This window comes from Homo sapiens, chromosome 3, assembly GCF_000001405.40.
Source record: "Homo sapiens chromosome 3, GRCh38.p14 Primary Assembly".
Classification (NCBI taxonomy): Eukaryota; Metazoa; Chordata; class Mammalia; order Primates; family Hominidae; genus Homo; species Homo sapiens.
This window is the reverse complement of record NC_000003.12, coordinates 121,124,499-121,150,887: the sequence shown is the minus strand read 5'-3', so window position 1 is coordinate 121,150,887 and position 26,389 is coordinate 121,124,499. Positions and strand designations below refer to the sequence as shown.

General features: G+C 34.9%; 1 protein-coding gene across 15 annotated transcripts in view; it reads right to left on the bottom strand.

The window, feature by feature from the left end:
- STXBP5L (syntaxin binding protein 5L) overlaps nucleotides 1-26,389 on the bottom strand; it is a 516,557-nt gene that overhangs the window by 273,874 nt on the left and 216,294 nt on the right. The window contains exon 3 of one of the 15 annotated variants that reach the window (XM_047449249.1): nucleotides 2,817-2,913. The exons of the other annotated variants lie outside the window; for them this stretch is intronic. Within the exon in view, the coding sequence (XP_047305205.1) occupies nucleotides 2,817-2,913 (97 nt within the window). The remainder of the gene's footprint in view (nucleotides 1-2,816; nucleotides 2,914-26,389) is intronic. 15 annotated transcript variants of the gene reach the window in all.

Genomic DNA, 26,389 nt, shown 5'->3' with positions numbered 1-26,389 from the left:
TCGAACTCCTGACCTCAAGTGATCTGCCCCTCTTGGCCTCCCAAAGTGCTAGGATTACAGGCATGAGTCACCATGCCCAGCCAATAAAACCAACTTTATTGAGTGTATGAGACTCTTGGCAAGGAGATATTGGCAAGGAGATTCATTAGCCTAAAAAGTTTAGAAAATATAACTTAAGCAATAAAATGAATAATATAATCTTTCTAAATTTGAGCCCCAAGATTTAATAAAATAATATCCTAAAACACTATTATATTTTATTAAAGTAAATATCTGAAAGATAAAAGTTGATTTGCTTATAAAACATTGCTAGCAATAGCCCCAGTAAATCACAAAATATAACATACTGAACCTCAAAAACACCATAAACTGTTGAGATAAGTATACAAGATTATGATTTAGAAAACATGATATTAGAATCAGTTAGAGAATTAGAAAAGAGAAAAGAATCCCCCTGACATCCAGGAGACATTAGACAAGGCCACTCTGTGACCATGAGGAACCAAGACAAAAATAAGAGCACTCTGCAATATTTGACCACACCAAAACAGGAACAATGCCCAAACCACAAATTATATATACATATTTTTTAAACAGAAAATGTCTCTCACAATAGAAGCAAGTACCATAAAGGCAAAGAAGTAGGGTTACTTCTTCACCATGATATCATTAGAACCTACACTAGTGTCTGAAAAAAATAGGTATTTGGTGAATAACAAATTAATTGTTAAATACCAAAAAATCAAAATTGTAGATATTATATTCTAACCACAGTAAAATAAAATTAGAAGTCATGACAAAAATATTTTGAAAACTAAAAAATATATCTGTAGGTAATTAATAAGCAAAGAAGAAATCATAATGAAATATATAAAACAGAACTGAACAAAAATGCCTCACAAGACACAGATGAATCTTAAGAGGAAATTTTATGGTTTTGTAAATATGTACGTAGAGAAGAAAAACTGAAAATGTTTTAATGATATAAGCATTTGACTTTGAAAAGTAAAGAAAAAAGTAAATCTCAGAAAGCAGAATTAAAAATAATGAGCCACCTTATTCAAGAGCAAAGGATACCACCTTTTATTTATTCGAGTATATGTTTATATCTTTTAGGAAGTTTGAAAGTTTTCCACATATTGATTTTCTTGTTAATTTTATACCTAGTTATTTTAACTTTCTTATTGCTATTTTATATGGGTTCTTCTCTTCATTACCTTTTCTAATAGGGTATTAATTCTATAGTTAGATTTTAGTATACACCTTTCTAAATTATTTTGTTTGTATTCATTTTAAGGTTGATTCTCTTTGCCATTCCAGATATATTATCATATAATCTAAAATAGAGACTACTTTATTTTTTTCTAATTTTTATGTCTCTAATTGTTTGTATTTATCTAACTGCTTTGCTAAAAATCATCCTAGAGTATTAAAAATAGTAGAGAGGCTAAGCATCCTTGCCTTCTTCCTGACTTTGGTGGCTATGCCTCTAGTGTTTCCCCATTAAATAAGATCCTGAATTCTGGGGAGGGAGGGAGAGGGCATAGAAAGAGAGAGAGAGAGATTTAAAGAAGTATAAATTGATTTATATGTTATACATTTCTTTTATTAGGAATAGGTGTTTAATTTTAAAATAAATATTTTTGTTGAAATATATATAATGTACACAGATTATAGATGTATATTTAATGAATTATGATGAAGTAAACATACCCATGAAACTACAATCCACGTTAAAAAACACAATAGAAGACAAGTAATACAAGAAAAACAATACAAGCCATTCACAGAAGCCTATTTCGTACTCTTACCTAGTTAATATTCCCACTCTCCTCTCTAAAAATAACCACTATCCTGACTTCTAACACCATAGGCTACTGTTACCTGTTTCGAATTAGACAGGTAGAATTATACAATACATATTGCTCTCTTTCTTGCTTCTATTTCTATTATATTTGTAGCATTAGTTAATTTAATTTCATTATTAAAATAGCATTTCATTGTTTGGCTATGGCACTACCACAAATTAATTTATTCATTTTACAGTTGATGTAATAATACTGCCATGAACAACCTTGTACATATCTTTTGGTAAATACATATATGCATTTCTGTTAAATGTATATTGATCCATAGGATATTAGTATGTTTAACTTTAATAGATACTGCCAAGCAGTTTTCCAAAGTGGTTATACCAACCACTTCATGTTTTCATTTTCACAAAATGTATATGAGTTCCATTTCCTTCTCATCTAATGACCAATATTGTGAATAGCTGTACAATGTTAAATTAAAGGAATAAATCATAGCCATCTTTGTCTCATTTATCATTTCAGGAGGAAAAATATTAATTCATCATTAAGGAGGATGTTTTCATAGCTTTGGGAAAATTAACAAAGTTCATATTAATGAAATTCCTTTCTTTCCCTAGTGTACCAAGAGATTTTTATAATGAAGAGAAGGTAAATTTTATTAAATGCTGCTTATTAGCTATTTTTATTGCCATATATTTTTCTCCTTATTTCTGTGAATTGCATTGACTGATTCTGAAAAGTTAAACCAACTGTACTACTAGGGGGAGCATAAATTGGTTGTGATTTTTTGTGCCTTCTCTTTCATTCTTGATCAGACTTGCCAGAGATGCATCAATTTTGTTAGTATTTTCAAATAACTGTTTTGTTAATGTACTAAATTTTTGTTTTCTATTCTTTTAATTTCCGCTCTCATCTTTTGAATTAAGGTTCTCCGAAAAATTAGAACCAAGAGATGTTTTTCTATGTATAGAAAAAGATATTTATTATGAGGAATTGGCTCACGTGATTATGAAGGCTGACAAGTCCCAAGATCTGCAGGGTGAGCTGGCAAGCAGGAGATCCAGGAGAGCTGATGGTGTGCCAGTCTGAGTCTGAAGACCTGAGAACCAGGAGAACCAATGGTATAGTTCCAGTCTGAAGGTCAGCAGGCTCAAGAACCAGGAAGAGCCGATGTTTCAGTTAGAGTCCAAAGGCAGGAAAAAGCTGATGTCTCAGTTCAAAAGCAGTCAGGCAGGAAGAATTCTCTCTTACTTGAAAAAGGGTTAGCCTTTTTGTTCTATTCAGGCCTTCAGCTGATTGATGAGACCCACTCGCATTAGGAATGGCAACCTGCTTCACTCAGTCTACAGATTTAAATATTCATCTCAACCAAAACATCCTCACCTAAACCTTTAGAATGATGTTTGACCAATATTTGGTTACCTCAAGGCCCAGTCAAGTTGACACATAAAATTAACCATTATATCTTTATTGTTATCTTTCTACTACTTTCTTTGGGTTTAATTCACTGTTTATCTAGCTTACTGGGTTGGATACTAAGATCACTGATTTTCAGCTTTTCTTCACTTTTTAAGAAATGTAATATAAACTATAAATTTTCCTGGAGGCACAGCTTTAGCTACATTGCACAAGTTTTTGATATGTCACATTGTTATTGCAATTTTGTTTAAAATATATTCTAATTTTTATACTGATTTCTTCTATGACATAGAAGCTATTCAGAAGTGTAGTACTTAATGACTAAACAATTAGGGGATTTTTCATTTATCTTTTTCTTATTGATAATCTTGCTAAATTCTCTTGTGGTTAGAGAACATATTGTGTATTATTTTAATCCTCTGAAATTTATTGGCATGTTTTTTGGTTCAGCAAATATACAACTTTGGCAAATACTCTATAAGCACTTGAAAATAATGTGTGGTCTGCTAGTACTATATACATAATGTATTATATGTGTCAACTTGGTTAAGTTGTTAATCATGTGGTTTTAATTTTCTTTATCCACACTAATTATTTCTTTGTTTGTTTGTTTTCTCAGTGACTGGAAGAGGTTTGTTAAAATCTCCAACTACAATTGTAGATTTGAGTATTTTTCATTTTAGTTCTGTCCAATTTTAAAAATATTTTTAGTTCTATCAAATTATACATACACACACATCATGATTCCATGCAAAATGAAAACACAATTCAGATAAGCACATGTTTTAGTTAACGTGGTACCATGCAAAGTAAGCACTACCTGTATACTATAAATCTATGTCATCATTAGGCATATACAAATTTAGGATTATTACATCTTCTGCTGAATTAACCAATTTCTATTATAAAATATTATCCTTAAAAAAGTTTTTGCCTTAAAGTCTGTATCCTCTGATATTAGTATAGTTACACAAGTTTTCTTTGGTTATGGTTTACATACTATATCCTTTTGCAGTTTTGCGTTAAACTTTTCTACATCTGTAAGTTTAAAATGTATCTCTTGTAACAGCATATTGTTGTTTTAGCAGTTTGCAAATTATTGTCTGGTAATTAGCCTATTTAGTCAGTTTACATTTAATATAATTGCTGACATATTTTAGAACAAAGCTACCTACTTATCTTGTATTTGTCCCATTTGTTAATGTGTCCTCCCTCTTTTTGGGAAGGGAGTTGGTTAGTAGTTTTTTCTTATCCTAATTTTCCACTCTATTAACTTATCCATTATACATACATTTATTATATTTTACCCACCAGAATAAAAATTTTTCATGACTTATCAAATTATAATGTAAATTAGTACTTGTGCTACTTTCTGGAAATTATAAGGACTGTATTAGTCAGGGTTCTCCAGAGAAACAGAATCAATAGGATATATATCTGTATAGCTATATAAGAAGGAATTTATTATGCAAATTGGTTCATGTAATTATGCAGGATTAGAAGTTCCACAATATGCTCTCTATAAGCTGACTAAGTAGGAAAACTGGGATTGTAATTTAGTCTGTGTTTGAAGGCCTGAGAACCAGAGAAGTGGGAGAGGCCTGGGAAAGAAAAGTCTGAAGTCCTGAGAACCTTGAGCTGATATTCAAAAGCAGGAAAGGATAGATGTCCCAGTTCCAGTAGAGAGAGCAAATTCACCTTTCGTCTTTTTTGTTCTATCCTAAGCTCAATAAACTGGATAATGTCTACTCACATTGGTGAGGGCAGATATTCTTCACTCAGCCTACTAATTCAAATGGTCATTTATTCTGGAAACACTTTCACAGACATACTAAAAATAATGTTTTACCAACTCTCTGAGTATTCCTTAATCCAGTCAGTTTGGTGTGTAAAATTAACCATCATAAAGACATTGGCAATTAAATTTAGTGAACGTCATCCCAACTTGTATCATAATTCTCAATATATTACACTGCAAGAAGTCATTATTATTTTTATAAAATATTTCCTTAGTTTAACACGTTTGTGGTTCTTTATTCTTTTCTTCATCTCTGTTCTTATATAATAGATCATTTTCATTTGCTTAAACAAGTCTTTTAGGTTTTTCCTTAGTAAGATTTGATGTTGATGAATTGTTGCAAATTTTGTTTGCTGAAAATAATTTGATGACATGTTTTAAATTATATTTTTGTAGAGTATAGAATTCTCCCAGTGGAAGGACTGATCTGATTATCAAAACTGGAAATACAATGGGTGCTAAATTTTATTCAAAGACTTTTTCAGCATCATAAAGATAATCATTTGTTCTTAGACCTATTAGCGATATAAATTATATTGATGGATTTTGTAATAGTATCTATCCTTGCATCCCTGGAGTAAAACACCACTAGTCATAATTAATTATTTTTTAATGTGCTGGTGGGATTCTGTCTCCTAATATTTTATTTAAGATTTTTCCATTAATATTTTATTTTATTGTAGTAAGAACACTGAACATGAGATCTACCCTATTAACAAATTTATAAATATATAGTACATTACTGGTGACTCTAGATACAATGTTGCACAGCAGATTTCTAAAGTTTATACATCAATCAAGCTTGCTTGACTGAAACTTTAAGTTCATTGATTAGTATCTCTGCATTTCAACCTCCCCCAGCCCATCAGCCACCATTACACTCTTTGATTCTATATATATGACTATTTTAGATACCTGATATAAGTTGAATAGTGAAGAATCTGTCTTTCTATGACTGGTCATTTCACTTCACATAATATCCTCCAGGTTTATCCATGTTGTCACATACTGTAAAATTTCCTTATTTATTAAGGCTGAAAAGTATTCCATTGTAGAAATACCACGTGTATTATAGGTACACGAAGGGATACTCTTCCACCCTAATAAGGGCTGGGTAACCACATGTTGTTTATTCATCTGCCAATGGCCATTTAGGCCATTTCCACATATTGGCTATTGCCAAAAATATTATGATTTATTTCTCTTTGAGATCTTGATTTCAATTCTCTTGTATAAATATCCAGAAATGGGACTGCTGTATTATATAGGTAGTTCTATTTTTAATTTTTTGAGGAACCTCCACACTGCTTTCCATAGTGGTTGAACCATTTTGCAGTCCCACCATACAAGTGTTCCAATATCTTCACATCCTTGTCAAAAGGTGTCTTTCGGTTTAAAATACATACACATAATAATGATCCTAGTATCTATTCTTGGTTTTGATTTGCGTTTCTCTAATGATTAGTAACATTAAGCACTTTTCCATATACCTGATCTTAGGCATTCTTTGTGTGTGTGGTTACCTTAGGACTTATATAAAATCTAATGCTCTGTTTTAAGCTGATAACACCTTAAGTTCAATAGTATACCAAAACTCTACACTTAAAACTTCTCTTCCCCTGACACATGCTTTATAGTATAGACATTGGAGAAATGTCTATTTAAGACTTAAGCCCATTTTAAAATCGGGTTACTAGATTTTTTTTTTTTTTTTTTTACTATTGAGTTGTATGAGTTTCTTATGTATTTTGCAGATTAACGCTTTACAGATACATGGCTTGCAAAAATTTTCTCCTATTCTCTACATTGTGTTTTCACGCTGCTGATTGTTTCTTTTGCTATGCAGAAGCTTTTTAGTTTGACCTTGTCCTACATGTTTATTTTTGTTTTCATTGTAGTTACTTTCAGTGTTAAGTTTATAGAGCCATGACATTGTCAAAACCAGCGTCATGAAGCTTTTCTTCTACGTTTTTTCTACATATTTCAGAGTTTAAGGTCCTATGTTTATTTCAGAGTTTAAGGTCTTATGTTTAAGTCTTTAATCCATTTTGAATTGATGTTTTTAGTAAGATGTATGAAAAAGGTCTAATTACATTCTTATACATGTGGATATCCAGTTTTCTCAATACCACTTGTTTAAAATATTATCCTTTCTACACTGTGTATTCTTGGCACCCTTGTCAAAGATCAGTTGACCACATATGTATGGATTATTTCTGGGCTCTCTATTCTGTTCCATTGGTCTATATGTCTGTTTTTATGCAATTGTCATACTACATTAATTATTGTAGCCTTGTAATTTAGCTTAAAATCAGAAAGTGTTATTATTATGTGTTGAATCATCCTTGCACTTCAGAGATAGATCCCACTTGATCATGATGCATGATTATTTTAACGTGCTCTTGGATTCAGTTTGCCAGTATTTTGTTGAGGATTTTTGCATCTATTTCATCATGAATTTTCACCTACAGTTTTATTTTCTTGTGATATATTTGTCTAGTTTTGGTGTCAGGGTAATGCTGATGACAATGTTTTCCCCTTTTCAAGTTGTTTTTTTTTTTTTAATTTAAGGACTGATGTTATTTCTTCAAATTTTTGGTAGAATTCACTAGTGAAGCCATCCTGAGCTTTTCCTCGTTAAAAGGTTTTTCATTACTAATTCAATCTCTATACTAGTTCTTAGACGTTCTGTTTCTTCATGGTTTGTCTTGGCAGGTTTTATGTTTCTAAGAATTTACTCAATCCTTCTAGATTATACAGTTTGTTGGTATATAACTGTTCTTATTAGTCTCTTATGATCCTTATTTCTGTGGCATCAGTTGTAAATCACTCCTTTCATTTCTGATTTTATTTATTTGAATTTTAAATCTTTTTTACTTAGTGTAGCTGAGTTTGTCAATTTTGTTGATCTTTTCAAATAATAACTCTCAGTTTTGTTGATTTTTTTATCCATTTCATTTATTTCTCCTCTAATGTTTATTTCCTTCCTTCCACTACATTTGTGCTTAGTTTGCTCTTCTCTAGTTCCTTGAGGTAAAGTTGTAAGTTTGCAGGTCTTTCTTATTTTTTAATGTAAGCATTTATTGCTAGAACTTCCCTCTTAGTATTGCTTTTGCTGCATCCCATAATTTTTGGTAGAGTGTGTTTTCATTTTTGTCTCAAGATATTTTCTAATTTCTTTTTTGATTTCTTATTGAGGCAATGGTTGTTTAGGGATGTATTGTTTAATTTCTATATATTTATACATTTTGGAGTTTTCTTCCACTATTGATTTCTAGTTTTATTACATTGTGGTCAGAAAGGATACTTGGTATCATTTCAATCTTCTTAAATGTATTAAGGTTTGTTTCATGGCCTAACGTGTTATCTATTTTGGAGAATATTCCATGTGTGCTTGAGAAAAATGTATATCTTGCTGCTGTTGGGTGGAAAGTTCTGTATATATGTTAAGTCCATTTGGTCTATAGTGTTATTGAAGCCCGCTGATTCCTTTTAATATATCTGGATAATCTGTCTATTATTGAAAGTAGAGTACTGAAGTCTCTTACTATGATTGCATTGCTATCTATTTCTCCCTTCAGTTCTGACAATATTTGCCTTATATATTTAGGTGCTCTGATATCAGATGTGTATATATTTATAATCATTATTTTCTTCTTGGTGGATAGACCTTTTTATTGTCCTTCTTTGTCTCATGATAATTTTTGACTTAAAGTCTATGGTGTCTGCAATAATAATAGCCATCCCTCCTCACTTTTGTTTACTATTTGCATAAATTATCATTTGCATGAAACATGTTTTTCAGTCTTTATATATCCTTAAATGGAAAGGGAGTTTACTGTAGACAGCATATGGTTGGGTCTTGTTTTTTATTTTTTATTTTTCTAAATCAATTCAGATACTTTGTATCTTTCGATTGGGGAGATCAATTTATTAACATTTAAAATAATTATTGACAGGGAATGATTTGCCATTTTGTTAGTTGTTTTCTGTTTGTCTTATAACCCTTTTGTCTGTCCTTTCCTCTCTTGCTGTCTTCCTTTATGTTTTTTATTGATATGCTTTGATTTCTTTTTATTTTGTGTAACTTCTTAGGCATTCTTTGTGTGTGTGGTTACCTTAGGACTTACATAAAATCTAATGCTCTATTTTAAGCAATAACACCTTAAGTTCAATAGTATACCAAAACTCTACACTTAAACTTCTCTTCCCCTAACACATACTTTATAGTATTGTTGTCACAATTTTCATCTACTTATATGGTGTATCTTCTAACATAATTTTCAGTTAGAGTTATTTTTACTAATTGTATCCTTTGAATTACTTTACTGCAATTACTTTTGCACTGTCCTAATAGAATTAAGTGATGTACCCATCATCATCTCACACTACAGTATTCTGAATTTGTTTGTATATTTACCCTTAGCAATAAGTTTTACACATTTTTTTTTTTGAGACAGAGTTTCACTCTTGTTGACCAAGCTGGAGTGCAATGGCACAATCTCAGCTCACCGCAACTTCTGCCTCCCGAGTTCAAGTGATTCTCCTGCCTCAGCCTCCCGAATCGCTGGGATTACAGGCATGTGCAACCACCCCCAGCTAATTTTGTATTTTTAGTAGACACAGGGTTTCTCCGTGTTGGTCAGGCTAGTCTCAAACTCCCAATCTCAGGTGATCTGCCTGGCTTGGCCTCACAAGTGCTGGGATTACAGGTGTAAGCCACCATGTCTGGCCTAAGTTTCACACTTCCTTCTGCTATTGCATTGCTGTTTAACATACTTTTCTTTCAATTTCGGTATTTTTTCAGTCTTTAAAAAGTTTATTTCTTTTATATTGACAGATAACATTGTATGTTTTTATCACATATAACACAGTATTTTGAAATATATATACATTGTGGAATGGTTAAACTTATTATAGTTAAAAGCATTCCCTCACATAGTTATCATTTTGTGATAAGATCACATAACATCTACACTCTATATTTTTCAACAGTGCAATATATCATTACCTATAATCACCTTGTAATACATTAGATATCTTACAATTTATTCCTGCTACATAACTGTAATTATGTTATTCTTTGACCAACATGTCCTCATCCATTCCTCCTCATTAACCACCTCAGCTGCCGGTAAGTAACTTTCCTCTCTCTACTTCAATGTAATCAATTTTTTAAAATTCCACATATGAGTGAGATGATATGGAATTTGTCTTTCTGTTTCTGGCTTATTTCCCTTAACGTAGGTCCTCCAGGTTCATCCATGTTGTCGCGAATGAGAAGATTTCATCATTTTATATGGCTGAATAGTATTCCATTGTGAATATATACCATATTTTCTTTATCTATTTATCCAATGATGGATAATTACATTGATTCCATATCTTGGCCATTGTGAATAATGTTGTGACGAACATGGGAATGCAGATATCTCTTGGATATATTGACTGCAATTCATTTAGTTATATACCAAGTAGTGGTATTGCTGGATCACATATGGTATTTCTATTTTTAATTTGAGGAATCTCCATACTATTTTCTACAATGGTTATACCAATTTACATTACCTTCTCTCCATATGTTCACCAGTACTTATTATCTTTTGTCTTTTTGATAATGGCAATTCTAAATGAGGTGAGGTGATAGCTCACTGTGGTTTTGATTTGCATTTCCCTGATGATGAGCGATGTTGAGCATTTCACTATATACTTGTTGGCCATTTATAATATGTCTTCTTTTGAAAAATGTCTCTTGTCATTCATAGTTTGAGGAATTACACTTAATTATTTAATCTATTTTAATTTTTTAATATAGTGAGAAATGAGTGTTTCATGTCATTCTTCCACATGTGCATATACATGTCTATTTTGTCCATTTTTCAACTGGGTTGTTTGGTTTTTTATGGTGAGTTGTCTGAGTCCCTTATACTCTTGAATGTATAGTTGACAAATATTTTCTCTCATTCTGTAGGTGGTCTTTTTTTCCCAAGTCTTTTATTGTCACTTTCAGCATAAGTGATGGTTTGTCCAACATACTTTGAAGTCTGCTTATAGTAATAACTATTCTGCTACTAAGTACGGTTTCCTTTGCATTGTCCTCCCTCTTCAAGTTTCATACATTTGAGAATTAATCCTGACTGGTTGCAATAGAATATGTACCATTTTCTTTTGAGCCTAAATGATGGTGATGAGGTTAATGTTCTCATTGCCTTTGAATTACCATTTTGATTCAGAACTCGGAATAAAAATAGAATTTATATCCTCCAGGTAAGTAGATATTTATTATATCTGTTCTTATAGTGTGATTGTTAAGAGCATTGACTCTGAGCCACATTGCCTAGGTTTGAACACTAATTCTGATACTTACAAGCAACACGATCTTGGGTAAGTTAATTCATATTCCGCCTTAATTGTTTCATGTGTAATGGTACTCCTCTCATAGGGTTTTTAAAAATTTGACATGTGTCATTCTTTTTCTTTTTAGTTGACATATAGTAATTGTACATGTTTATAAGAGAGAGTGCTTTTTTACATTTGAACAATGTGTAATGACCAAATCATGATAATTAGCATATCCATCACCTTAAATATTCATCATTTATTTGTGTTATGAACATTCAAAATCTTCTCCTTCAGCTTTTATAAATATACACTAAATAATTGTTAATCATATTCAACCTATAGTGCTACAGAATGCTAAAACTCATTCTTTCCATATAGATGTAATTTTGTGTCCATTAACCAACTTCTCCCTTTCTTCTCCTTGACTTCTACTCTTCCTAGTTTCTAATAACGACAATGCTACTTTAATTCTGTGAGCAGAATTTCTGTTTAACCCTCCAATATGAGTAAGAACATATTTATTTTTCTATAACTAACATTTCACTTGTAGATTGTCTTTTCACTCTGTTGTTTCCTTTGCTATGCGAACATTTTTGTGTGTGATATAATCTCATTTGTCTATTTTAACTTTTGTTGCCTGTGCTCTTGAGTTCTTATTCAAAAAACTCCTTGCCCATACCCATGTCATGAAGCATTTCCCCTGTTTTCTTCCAGTAGGTTAATAGTTTAAGGATTTACACTTAATTATTTAATCTATTTTAATTTTTTAATATAGTGAGAAAAGAGTGTCTCATGTCATTCTTCCACATATGCATATACAGTTTTCCCAATATTATTTATTAAGGAGACTTTCCTTTCTTTATTGCAAGCTTTTGGCACATTTGTCAAAAATCAATTGGCTGTAAATGTGTGGATTTTTATGTTGGGCTCTCTAATATGTTCCATCAGCCTATGTATCTGTTTTTATGCCAGCACCATGCTGTTTTGGTTACTATAGCATTGTGGTATACTTTGAAGTCAGGTAATGTGATGCCTTCGGCTTTGTTCTTTTTGGTCAAGACTGCTTTGGTTATTTAGAGTCTCTTATGGTTCCATACAAACTTTGTGGTGTTTTTTCTATTTCTGTGAAGAATGGTATTGGTATTTTGATAGAAACTGTATTGAATCTATAGATCACACTGAGTGGTAAAAATATTTTAACTATATTAATTCTCCTAATCCTTGAATATGGGATAGCTTTCCATTTATGTGTCTTCTTCAATTCTCTTATCAATGTCTTATAATTTCCAATGTAGAGACCTCCTTTCACCTCCTTAAATTTATTCCCAGTTTTTTTAATGGATATGGTAAATAGAATTGTTTATTTCTTTCACAAATAATTTACTATTAGCATATACATATACTACTGACTTTTGCATGTTGATTTTATAACCTGCAACTTAACTCACTTATAAATTCTAAAAGCCTTTTAGTGGAGTATTTAGGGATTTCTATGTATAAAATCATGTCATCAGCAAAAAGGGACAATTTAACTTCCTCCTATCAAATTTGGATGCCTTATATTTCTTTCACTTGCCTAGTTGCTCTGGTCAGGACTTCCAGTATTATGTTGTATAGGACTGCTAAGAGTGGACATCCTTACCTTGTTCCGGATGTCAGAAAAAAAGTTTTTAACTTTTTCCCATTCAGTATGAGGTTAGCTGTGGGTCTTGTCAATTGTGGCCCTTATTGGGTTGAGGTACAATCCTTCTATCTAATTTACTGAAAATTTATATCATAAAGGAATGTTGACTTTTGTCATATGCCTTTTCTCCGTGTATTAAAATGACCATATGGTTTTTGTCCTTCATTCTGTTAATATGATGTATTATGTTTGTTGATTTGAATATGTTGAACCATCTTTGTATTCCTGCAATAAATCTCACTTGGTCATAATGAATGATCTTTTTAATGTGCTGTTGAATTTGGTTGAGTATTTTGTTAAACGTTTTGCATCTATGTTCATCAGGAATATTTGCCTGTAGTTTTCTTTTTTATTATGTCCTTACCTGGTTTTGGTATCCAGGTATTTATCTATTTCTTCTAGGCTTTCCAATCTGTTGGCATAAAATTGTTCATAAGAGTCTGCCAATCCTTTGAATTTCTGTGGTATCAGATGTAACTTTTTTTCATCTCTGATTTTATTTATTTGGTCTTCATTCTTTTTTCTTAGTGTAGCTAAAAGTTTACCAATTTTGTTTATATTTTTAAAAAACCAACATTTTTTTTATTCTTTTCAACTTTTATTTTAGGTTTAAGGGGTACGTGTGCAGGTTTGGTACATGGGGAAATTGCATGTTATCAGGGTTTGGTGTACAAATAGTTTTGTCACCCAGGTAATTAGCATAATACTTGATAGGTAGTTTTTCAATCCTCACCCTCCTCCCACCCTCCACCCTAAAATAGGCACCAGTGTCTACTGTTCCCTTCTTTGTGTCTGTGTGTACACAACGTTTAGCTCCCATTTATAAGGAGCACATGGAGTATTTGGTTTTCTGTTCCTGTGTTAATTTGGTTAGGATAATGGCCTCCAGCTCCCTCTATGTGCTGAAAAGGCCATGACCTCATTTTTAAAAATAGCTATGTAGTATTCCATGGTGTATATGTAGCACATTTTCTTCATCCAGTCCACCATTGATGGGCACTTAGGTTGATTCCATGTCTCTGCTATTGTGAATAGTACCGCAATGAACATACACACGCATGTGTCTTTATGGTAGAACAATTTATAATTTCTTTGGCTATATATCCAGCAATGACACTCTTGGATCAAATGGTAGCTCTGCTTTCAGTTCTTTGGAAAACCTCTAGATTGCTTTCCACAATGGCTTAACTAATTTACATTCCCACCAGCAGTGTACAAGTGTTACCTATTCTCTCCAACCTTGCTGGCATCTGTTATTTTTAAAAAATTGTAGTAATAGCCATTCTCACTGGTGTGAGATGGTAGCTTATTGTAGTTTTGATTTGGATCTCCCTAATGATTAGTGATATTAAGCACTGCAACTAAGGTTTATTCTGGTCTCAAGGCTGCTGAAGTAGGCAAGAAGTGATGTTGGTTGAGTTCTGAGTCTGCTTTGCTGGGGCCCATGGGTTCCTAACTGACACCAGGGCAGGTCTAGAGGCTCTGCCTGTGCATATCAGTCTAGAGTCAGGAGCTGTGGTGGGGAGGGATCTGCCAGATATTGAGTTTTACTGTGGTGGGCACTATACTGGGTTCTACAGCAAACCTCTATGCTTATACTTTCCTTTCCTTCGCCAAGTGAATGATTTTTCTCTCTGTGCTGTGCTGCCTGGTGTTGGAAAAAGGGAGACATGAGTTATCTTCTGGTTGCTGAACTTATACCCAAAGTCCACTGCTACTAAGATGAGAATGGCACCAGGGCATGCCTAAGGCCCGCAGCAGCTATAATCTGCCTGCCACTGAGGTTTCTTCAGGGCCTAAGGGCACTGTAGTCGGTCAGCGGTCATGCAGGCCAGAACTCAAGTTCATTCCACCATGGCCATGGGTTCCTGTCTGGCACCTGGACATGCTAAGGCCTTCAGTAGCTACAGCCCGCCTGCCACTGAGGATTAGTGGGGGCTTGAGGCCACTGTAGTTAACCAGTGGTAATGCAGACTGGAACTTCAGCCCATTGGATGGTGTTGTGGATTTTCATGACACCAAGGTGGTCTAGAGCAGGAGTTCCCCAAACCCTGGCCACAGTACCAGTCTGTGGCCTGTTAGGAACCAGACCACACAGCAGGAGGTGAATGGCAGGTAAGCAAGTGAAGAGTCATCTGTATTTACAGCTGATCCCCGTCACTCGCATTACCACCAGAGCTCCGCCTCCTGTCAGATCAGCTGCAGCATTAGATTCTCATTGGATTGTGAACCCTACTGTAAAGTACACATGCAAGGGATCTAGGTTGCATGCTCCTTGTGAGTATCTAATTCCTGATGATCTGTCACTAATCTAATTCCTGATGATCCATCACCCCCAGATGGGACCATATAGTTGCAGCAAAACAAGCTTAGCACTCCCACTGATTCTACATTATGGTGACTTGTATAGGGTGACTATCACTGAAGAGTCTTACTTCACCATTGCTATGGTTTGAATGTCTCCTCACAGGCAACCTACAGAATGGGAGAAAATTTTTGCAATCTACTCATCTGACAAAGGGCTAATATCCAGAATCTACAAAGAACTCAAACAAATTTACAAGAAAAGAAAACAAACAACACCGTCAAAAAGTGGGCAAAGGATATGAACAGACACTTCTCAAAAGAAGACATTTATGAAGCCAACAGACTCATGAAAAAATGCTCATCATCACTGGCCATCAGAGAAATGCAAATCAAAACCACAATGAGATACCATCTCATACCAGTTAGAATGGCGATCATTAAAAAGTCAGGAAACAACAGGTGCTGGAGAAGATGTGGAGAAATAGGAACACTTTTACACTGTTGGTGGGACTGTTAACTAGTTCAACCATTGTGGAAGACAGTGTGGCGATTCCTCAAGGATCTAGAACTAGAAATACCATTTGACCCAGCCATCCCATTACTGGGTATATACCCAAAGGATTATAAATCATGCTGCTATAAAGGCACATGCACATGTATGTTTATTGTGGTACTATTCACAATAGCAAAGACTTGGAACCAACCCAAATGCCCATCAATGATAGACTGGATTAAGAAAATATGGCACATATACACTATGGAATACTATGCAGTCATAAAAAAGGATGAGTTCATGTCCTTTGCAGGGACATGGATGAAGCTGGAAACCATCATTCTCAGCAAACTATCACAAGAACAAAAAACCAAACACCACATGTTCTCACTCATAGGCGGGAATTGAACAATGAGAACACTTGGACACAGGAAGGGGAACATCACACACCAGGGCCTGTTATGGGGTGGGGGAAGGGGGGAGGGAAAGCATTAGGAGATATACCTAATGTTAAATGACGAGTTAATGGGTGCAGCACACCAACATGGCACATGTATACATATGTAACAAACTTACACATTGCGCACATGTACCCTAGAACTTAAAGTATAATTAAAAAAAAAGAAATTTAATCTCCAATGTAGCAGTATTGACAAGTGGAGCCTTTAAGAGGTAACTCAATCATGAAAGCTCTGTCCTAATGAATGAATTAATGGGTTAATGAATTAATGAAGCATCATAGGAGGAGAACTAGTGGCTGTATAAGAGAAGAAAGACCTGAGCTAGAATATTAGCACACTCTGCTCCCTCACCATGTGATGCCCTGCACCACCTCGGGACACCACAGAGTCCCTACCAGCAAGAAGGTTCTCACCAAATGCCTTCCCTAGACCTCAGACTCCCCAGCCTTCATAAATGTAATAAATAAATTCCTTTTCTTTATGAATTTCTCAGTTTTAAGTATTCTATTACAATCAACAGAAAAATGGACTAAGAGAGCTGATATGGTTTGGCTCTGTGTCCCCACCCAAATCTCATCTCAAATTGTAATCACCATGTGTCAAGGTTGGGAACTGGTGGCAGGTGACTGGATCATGTAATCCCTTGCTGTTCTCTTGATAATGAGGGAGTTCTCATGAGATCTGATGGTTTTAAAGTGGGGCATTTCCCCTTTGCTTGCTCTCTCACCTGTCACCATGTAAGACATGCCTTGCTTCCTCTTTGCCTTGCGCCATGATTGTAAGTTTCTTAAGGCCTCCCCAGCCATGCAGAACTGTGAGTCAATTAAATCTCTTTTGCTTATAAATTACCCAGTCTCAGATAGTATCTTTCTAGAAGTGTGAGAATGGACTAATACAACAGCTATCTTGCTTCCCTTTTGCTTCAACTTAAAGAACTCTTTAGCATTTCTTGCGAGTCAAATCTAGTGGTGGTAAACTTCCTGAGCTTTTGTTTGTCTGGGAAAGGTTTTATCTCTCTTACATTTTTGAAGGACAGTTTCGTTGAATATACTATTCTTGATGGACAGTATTTTTTTTCTTTTAGGATGTGAATATATTGCACCACTCCTTTCTGTCCTGCAATTTTTCTGCTAAAAACTGTGGATTATCTTATAAAGATTCCCTTGTATGTGACAATCCACTTTTTCTTGCTGCTTTAAAAATCCTTTCTTTGTCCTTGACTTCTGACAGTCTGATAATAACATATCTGAACATAGATTTCTTTGGGTTCATTTTATTTGGTGTTCTTTGGGCTTCCTGGGTTTGGATATCTACATTCCCCAGATTTGAGAGGCTTTCAATCATTACATCTTTTTTCTTTTTCATAAAATCAGGGTCTTGTCATGTTGTCCAGGCTGGTCTCAAACTCTTGGGCTCAAGCAATCCTCTGACATCAGCCTCTCAAACTGCAGGGAATACAGGCATAAGCCACCATACCTAGCTCTCATCATTTGTTTAAATAAGCCTTCTGGTCCTTGATATGCTTCTTCTCATTATGGATCTTCTATAATACACAGTGGCCCACTTTAATTGTACCCCATAAGTCCCGTAAGCCTTCTTCCCTGTTCTTCATTCTGTTTTCCTTTTGCTTTTCTGTCTGAATTATTTCTAGTTACCTGTCTTTGGGTTCACTGATCCTTTCTTCTACTTTATGTAGCCTGCTATTGACCCCTCTAGTGATTTTTTTTTCAGTTCTATTATTGTGTTCTTCAGCTCCATGCCTTCTGTTTAGTACTTTTAAATATTTTCTCTTTCCTGAAAATTCTAGTTTTGTTCATGAATTGCATTATTGACCTCAGTGAGTCTCTTTTTAAGAGTTATTTTAATTCTCTATCAAGTAAGTCATATAAATCTATTTCATTAGGGTTGGTTTCCATTATCTTATTCTTTGTTTAAATATTTTTGTCTGATTCTTCATTTTCCTTGACTCTCTATGTTGCTTTCTGCACTTTAGGCAAAGCAGGCATCTCTCTCAGTCTTCCTGAAATGTTCTCATAGAGAAGTACCCCACCAATTGGCCTAGACAGAGATTCTGAGGACTTCTATCTACTCTTTCCTTTCCCATGGAGATACAGGCATCTGTGGTCTTTATCTTCTCACTCTGTGCTGACCCCAGTGGGGTAGCTATGGCATCTACCAGCTCAAGCCACCACCTTGGTTCTCCCCAGGTAGCTAGATGTTCCAGACCCATCAGAGCTTCAGGACTGGTGAGATGTGTGCTAGTTCTTTTGGCACCCCCAAAGAAGCTGGGGCACTGGATGCACAGATCCACTCTTTTCAACCTAAGGGGTAAGCTGAGAGCTGGGATTTTTCATCTGTCCTCTGTGCTAAGCAGCAGGGCAGGGAGGGTCAGAAGTGTTTATCAGCGCAATTTGCTGCCTCCATTCTTGTCTAGGCAGCTAGGCTGTTTCAGAGCTGTCAGTGCTCCAAGACTGGCAAGACAGAAGCCAATTCTCTGGGGAGCCCCTTTGGAAAAATTGAGGTGCTAAACACATGAACAAAGTTCTTACCTCCCTTAGGTGAAGCTGCAACCTAGGAAATCTCTCCTTGACCATATGGCACTGCACCAGGAGCAAGGTTTCTGGTAAGAGGGCATCCTGAATTTCCTTACTGGTGTTAATGAATCTGGTTTCATGTTCTCCTGGGGTTCAGAAACTTTTCAATTACATTGTCATTTCTCACAAAGGGAATTTATATGTGAATTGTAGCTGAATCTGTGTGTTTGTAAGAATGAAAGCCCAGGCTTCCTATTCTGCCACTTTGCTGATATCACTCCTTTTCCATTGGTATTAATACATCCAATAAAACCAGTTTTCTTTTTATGCAACTTTTATTAGGTTTAGTTATCACTCTTATAATTGCTTCATAAAAACAATTTGAATTTTTTTCTTTTTTGAAACTATACTCAGAACAGGGGTTGGTAAAGTTTTTCTGTAATAGGCCAAACAGTAAATATTTTAGGCTTTCCAGACTACACAATCTCCAATAAAACTTTATTTAAAATAATAACAGGCAGGCCATATTTGTCCCACTGGCCATAGCTTGGCAATCTTTTTTTAAGAACAGTCTATGTAGCATTGGTATTATCTAATATTTGAAAAATTCATAAAATTCCATTATAAAGTCATCTGTGACTTGTACTTTTGGGTGGGAGTAGTAATTTAATAACTTTCTCATTTTCTTAAACTTTCTGTCTCCATTGGTATCACTGTTAATAATTTCCCTATGGGATTACCCATTTTATGTAGGCTTTTATATCTACCTGCTTAGAGCTGTGTAAAATGATTTAACTCAAAAGTTTAAAAATGTCCTTAGTTTTAGTATGATTTCCTCTTGTTTCGTGTATTATTCTGTGTAAGTTTGTTTTCTCCCTGTTTTTCTTGATTAGGTTGGATGTTGGTTTGCATATTTTGTTTATGTTCTATTCAAAGAACTAGCATGTTGATTAATTTATAACATAGCTTACAATCAGAACTAACTGAAGTTCTGCTCTTATCTCTTTATGTCTGTTTCCTTTTGCTTTATTTTCTTAATCGTTTTTCTAGCTTTCTGTGTTTCATATTAGATTTATGTATTTTAATTTATAATTCTATTGATATATGATTTAAAGACTACAAATTGTTTTTGATAATTATTTTCATTATATTCCATAAATTCTGATATATATATCACTATTTTGATGTTTATATGTTCACCTATTTTGATTTGTATTTTCTACTTGATCTAATAGTTGTTTAATGAAGAGTTTTAACATTTTCAAGTGGAAGAAAATTTTTCTGAATTTTAAATTATCGTGTCATTATTCATATGAAATGCATAATACAGTATACTGCTATTGGCTCTACCAATTGTGATGATTTTCTTTACCAGGGTCATTCAGGGTTAGCCCTTAGTAGAGATGTAATTGAGCAACAGTCTGTAACCAGCTAATGGCAACCAATCCTCTGACTTGTCTATGAAGCAGGCATAACTTCTTTCCTCCTCTGTCAATTGGTTTTAGGTATTTCCTTCCAATCCCATAAGATTATATATGTAGGTCAAGAGGGAGGCATTTTTGCAACAGATGGAATTCTGGGCTCGGTGTACATCTAATTCACTAATAGCTTTTGAAAAGTCAAGGCTAACATCCTAAATATACCATGTCTCCCACCCAATTTTATGACTCAGTGAATATAATATGTAACTCATGATGGACAGCACAGGTAACATAGTCATTTGGCATTCCATGGTTCAGTCTCTACAAGGGCCCAGGAGCATGTCAGGAGTTGCTTTGAAAATGGATAGTAACTGCTATGACTCCTCTAGAGGGCTTTCCAATAGAACATTTTATCTACCAGGTGCATTAAGTTTTATCAGATCTATAAAATCATACATCCCAAGTAGTACAGTAGCTTGCAAAGCATCTTTGACTTAGGAGACAAACACTACCAGCTTTTTCTCTAGGCTTTCACTCAAAACTGGCAGACTTTTGGGTGATATAAAAATTAGTTGGTTCAGTAATTTCAAGGACATTATAAACTATGATTCAAATCCAAAAGCCCCATCAAGTGATGTGACACTTTCTTAGGGGAAGTAAAATTGCTTATGCTTTAATTTAGAGGAGATGCTCTGTATGCCCCAGACCCTAAGACCCTCAAAATCTTCATATCTGGTACAGGCCCCTGGATCTTTGTGGTATTTTCTTCCCATCCTCTGAAACATGAATCTTATGAGTTATAAAGGTACTCGCCAGGTCTGCTCACTAGATCCAGTTAGCATTACATAGGCAAAAAAGTGAATTGGTATACTTTCCAAAGAATGTCCAGACAATCAAGATTACTGAGAATTATATTATGACTGAGAGCATGAAAAATAACATAGTCCTGGAGAAAGATTTTGAATTTACACTGCAGTCCTTTCTTTCATTCCCCTCTGTTGATGAATATGGGGTCCATCCCACATCCATGTGAAAAAAAGATTTCACTAAATATGTAACTGTATCTTAGGTACCATAGGTTGTGTTGATCTATACACATAAAAGCTAGGCAGCTGTGATTGGGACTGTCACCTGGTTATTTTTATAGCGATGTACTATTACCAACCTCAATCTATTTTTTTTTTTTTTGCAAAACCTACACAATGGAACTCAACAATATGTATTGGTGACCACTACCATTATGTCATTCAAGTCTAATTGTGCTAATAATCTCTGCAGTTCCTTCAGAGATGCTGTATTGCTTCTGATTACAATATTGGCAGAGGAAGACAGTTTCAGGAGATTCCATTTTCCTTTCCCACTATGTGCCTCTAATTACAGGGTAAGCAAACCAATATGAGTATTATTCCAGCTACTAAGCATATCTGTCAAATTATACATTTGGAGAAAATAACTGGGTATGTCTGCATACCCACTAGATCTACTGTGAGATTAGACTTGGGCCAAAACTCCGTCTATCAACTGGGTATTTATTCCATATGTCTCGCCTCTAACTGGAGGACCATAATTGCTTTTTTAAAAATTTCCCAGTATTAATGTCTGCTCTGACCCTATATCTAACAGTCCTGAAAACTAAACAGTTACTCCTGCAAACAATCACAGATGTTTCTATAATTACTATATGTACTTATTAGAGCATTTCAGGATTCTTTTTCAGTGACAACTAGCTCCTTTTTTAATCAATAGATTCTGAATCTGCAAACTAACTTATATTTGAAAACCTGATGAGATATTGTGATTTTCCATTTTGATGGTGACTGTCAAAAATTAAACTACTCTTAATTTTTTTCTGATCATACAAGGCAAACAACATCCCAGTCAGCTTCCCACCTTATTTTGCTCCTATAAACATCATGGTATATTAGCCATTACCATAGATTCCTGCATTGCCACTCCAGCCTTGCTGCTTATTATGGTAATTAAGCCCATATTGCCAGATGGTTAAATTTTGTGACCTGGCCTCTACAATCCATGAATATTATGGAACCTGGCTCTCTTGCATCAACTCCTACTGTCAACAAGGGCCTTAAAAGGGACAACCACTACCAAGCTTCTCAAATATGCTAATATTTTCCTTTCTAGGGCATTTCTTATTAGGTTAAGTGAAGACAGTCTCCTCAGAAGCCTCCTAGGGAACACAGTCAAAAGGTGAGTTGCCAGAACAAACATAATACATTCATTTTAACATTATCATCCCCTGATCCCTTCTTTAATACCATACCCAAAGACTCTGACATCTCTACTTTATTTACTATATGGCTTTTTTTTAGTCTAGGCTTCAAGGAGCCATGCCAGCAAATTACTACTAGGACCATATCCAAGTGTCCCTGCCAAAGCACCGAATCCAAAATCATAAGTAACTGCCCCCATAAAAATAAACCCTCCTCTAGGCAGCCCCCAAGTTCAAGTCCTTAAAAACCACTCTAAACACATTTCATTGGTGAATGGCAGTATTAGTCATATCCTCAATTCCTTTGGTAGGTATTCTATTTCTTTCAAATATAGTTTATTTATTCCTTGAGGAAGATTTATGCTTCTGTGTTAGGCTGTGCTGAGATCTGAGATCTGATTCTGGTTCTTTGCCTGGATGTAATGATACTGGAGGTGGTCTTGTGGGGAAAAACATCATCATACGAGGAAATTATTTTAGGTGAAGTCATTACACGGTCACCCAGAAAAGGGAAACTGTTCTCCTCCAGAAATGGTGAAAGAGGTACTTCTGCTGACCAGAAGTGTTTGAGGAAATTGGGGGTTGCTGGGGTTTACAATATTCTCAGGCTTATCTATATAAATTTTTCCATCCCAGGTTAATGGTTGAATAGTGCTCTCAAAAATTCATGTGCACCCAGAACCTCAGAATGTGACTTTATTCAGAAATAGAATCTTTGCAGATGTAATTAGTTAAGGATTTCAAGAAGAAATCATTCTGGATTTAGGGTGGGCCCTAAATCCCATCCTAGGCCCACCCTAAATCCAATGACTCCTGTTGTTATAAAAAGAGGAGAAGACATAGAGAAGATCATGTGAAAATGGAAAATGAAGGCAGAGATTGGTGTTATACTGCCACAAGTCAAGGAACATCAGGAGCCACCTAAGCTGGAAAAGGCAAGGAAGAAGTCTCCCCTAGAGTCTTCAGAGGGAGCACGGCCTAACTGACACCTTAGTTTTAGACTTCTGGTTGTTAGAACTAGGAAAAAATAAACTTCTTTGTTTTAAGTCATCCACTTTGTGGTCATATGTTATGGCAGCCATAGGAAACTAATATACAAAGGTCATACTCTTTCCTTATCAGGGCTCTGACTTTAACAAATGAGACCTATCAAAGTTATGTATTTGGTCTCCTTATAAGCAGCTCCTGGGCCTATTTTTAGCACAGTCTTCCCTAGAGCTACATGAGGTAGGAGTTCCTTTAAATCTACTTTAGAGGACTTCTGGGATTTGGTAAATCAGTAATTAATTGTTCTGAGATGATGTAGGAAGAATAAAGGACTCCCAAAGACACCCACACTCTAATCTTTGGAATCTGTCAATATGTTCTTTACATAACAACAACAACAACATAAAATATTTTATAAAAGTGAAGAACGTTTCCCAGTTGTGGTGAGAAAGAGGCACAATTGCGGAAGAAGAGTCAGAGAGATACTATGCTGTTGGATTTGAAGATAGACAAAGGGGCTGCAAGCCAAGGAATTTTGCAGCCTCTGAAAAAGCCAAGAAATCAGATTATCTTCTAGAATTACTAAAAAGGAATGCAACCCTGCAGATACCTTGATTTTTGCCCAGTGAGACCTGTGTTGAACTTCTGGCCTACAGAACTGAAAGATAATAAATTGTTTTGTTTTAAGCTATTGAATTTATGATAATTTATTTTGACAATGGGAAACTAACACAAGTGCCCTCAAAGGAAGTTATTTTATTTCATCATCATTATGTAATTATCATTACCCCATATCAATTAAACACCATGACTACTTTATCTCCCTTTATCTTATCTTTCTAGCAGAGAAAGATTAGTCCCTAATCACAGAAGAACATTTTTAAAGTAACTGTGATGTCACTGCATGGAAGAGTTTAATTCATTTCACCTGGTACCTTCAACAGGTTTGCTTATTTTAGACAGGAGACAACCTAACTTCAAAAATCCAATACTGAGGGTTTACAGACTAGGACAGGAGTTGGCAAACTTTTTATGTAAAGGCCAGATAGTGAACATTTTAGGCTTTGCATCCCAACTGCTCAGCTTTACTCTTACAGCAAGAAAGCAGCCACAGACATATGTTAATGAATGAGCATGGCTGTGTTCAATAAAACATTTTGAGAAAACAGGCAGCATGCCAGATTTGGTTTGTGGCTGTATTTTTCAGTCCCTTATCGAGAATAATTGTAGTAACTGTTATCTTAACCAGAAGTGTGTACAAAAAAAGCTTGAGGCAGGGTTTAGTCCTAGTGTTTAAGGGAGGAGTGCAATCTCAGGGTTGTAATAATAAAAGAAAGATGATTCATTATCACTCTACTATTTCATGGGGAGAAGCAGAAGAGACATCACTGGTCAGGTGTAGCATGGTCTTGCAAGAAATCTCCAAAAGTTTATGTGAGAAAACTATGACTCAAATTAGCCAAATAATAAGGAGGAAGAGAGGAAGAATTTATTACTTGTCTCTTGCCTAACATTGGTCAAGGTTTTCTCCATGGGAGGTTAACACCCCCTCTCTTCAGAATTGTGTCATTTGACCCCTTTGGTGTGTGTTATGGAAGCCAGATTGAATGCCTTATGTTGTAGCACATCTTCTGAATCCAGAATTAATGAAAGGAGCCAGAGACCTGGGAATAGCTCAATTAATTTTGCCAAACATGAAGTGAAGCAAACAGCCGTTGTTTGGGAGAGCATTTGTTTGGGAGACAAGAGAAGCTAAGAGAATTCAAGCAGATTCACTCAATGCTGTATCAAATCAATACAGGCATCTCTCAGCTCAAGAGTACCCTTTTGTATTCGATAGACCAATGCACAGTTTCTTTATAAATGATATATTGGGGGAAAGATGGCCTATTTTCTGATTCTATGACATTATCTTGATTTTTTTTTTGAGATGGAGTCTTGCTCTGTTGCCCAGGCTGGAATGCAGTGGCATAATGTCAGCTCACTGCAACCTCCACCTCCTGGGTTCAAGCAATTCTCTTGCTTCAGCTTCCAAGTAGCTGGGACTACAGGCGCATGCCACCACACAAGGCTAATTTTTTGTGTGTTTTTGGTAGAGACAGGGTTCCACCATGTTGGCCAGGCTGGTCTTGAACTCCTGACCTCAGGTGATCCACCCACCTCGTCCTCCCAAAGTGCTGGAATTACAGGTGTGAGCCACTGCGCCCAACCATATTATCTTGATTTTGTAGGAACCTTAACTTTAGCAGTTTGTTCCTTCTTGCACTTCACCAATTAGCTTCCAAGGGAAGCTTTCCCCTTCCAAGTTGAATTTATCCCAGAAATACAAATATGTTTAAAGTTAGAAAATCTATTAACATAATTCAACAAATTAACAAATTAAGAAATAATAATCTTGATACATGTAGAAAGCATTCAATAAAATTTGACACTATTCATAATTTTAAACTCTTAGAATATTGGAAATAGGTGGAATGTTTTTAACTTCATAAAAGCAATCAAGGACCTGCAACAACCATTTTACTTAATGCTGAAATCGTGGAGGCATTTCCTTTGAAGTTGGAAACAAAAAAAAGTTCCCACTAAAACCATTTTTACTCAACACTGCACTGGGGTCCTAGTCAATAAAACAAAAAAGATATATATAACCATAAATATTGGAAAGGAAGAAAATTTGTCTATATTTTCAGTTTTTATAAATAGAATATTCCAGAGAATCTAAGGACAGCTATTAAAAACAAAACATTCAATGATGCAACTGAATACAAAATATTAAAAAATCAATAATATTTGATAATCTAAAGATAATCAGTTATGAAACTTCTTTAAGAAGATTAAGTCACAAGTCACAAGAGCAATAAATTCTATAAGGTACTTATCGAATTGAGCTAGCACAAGA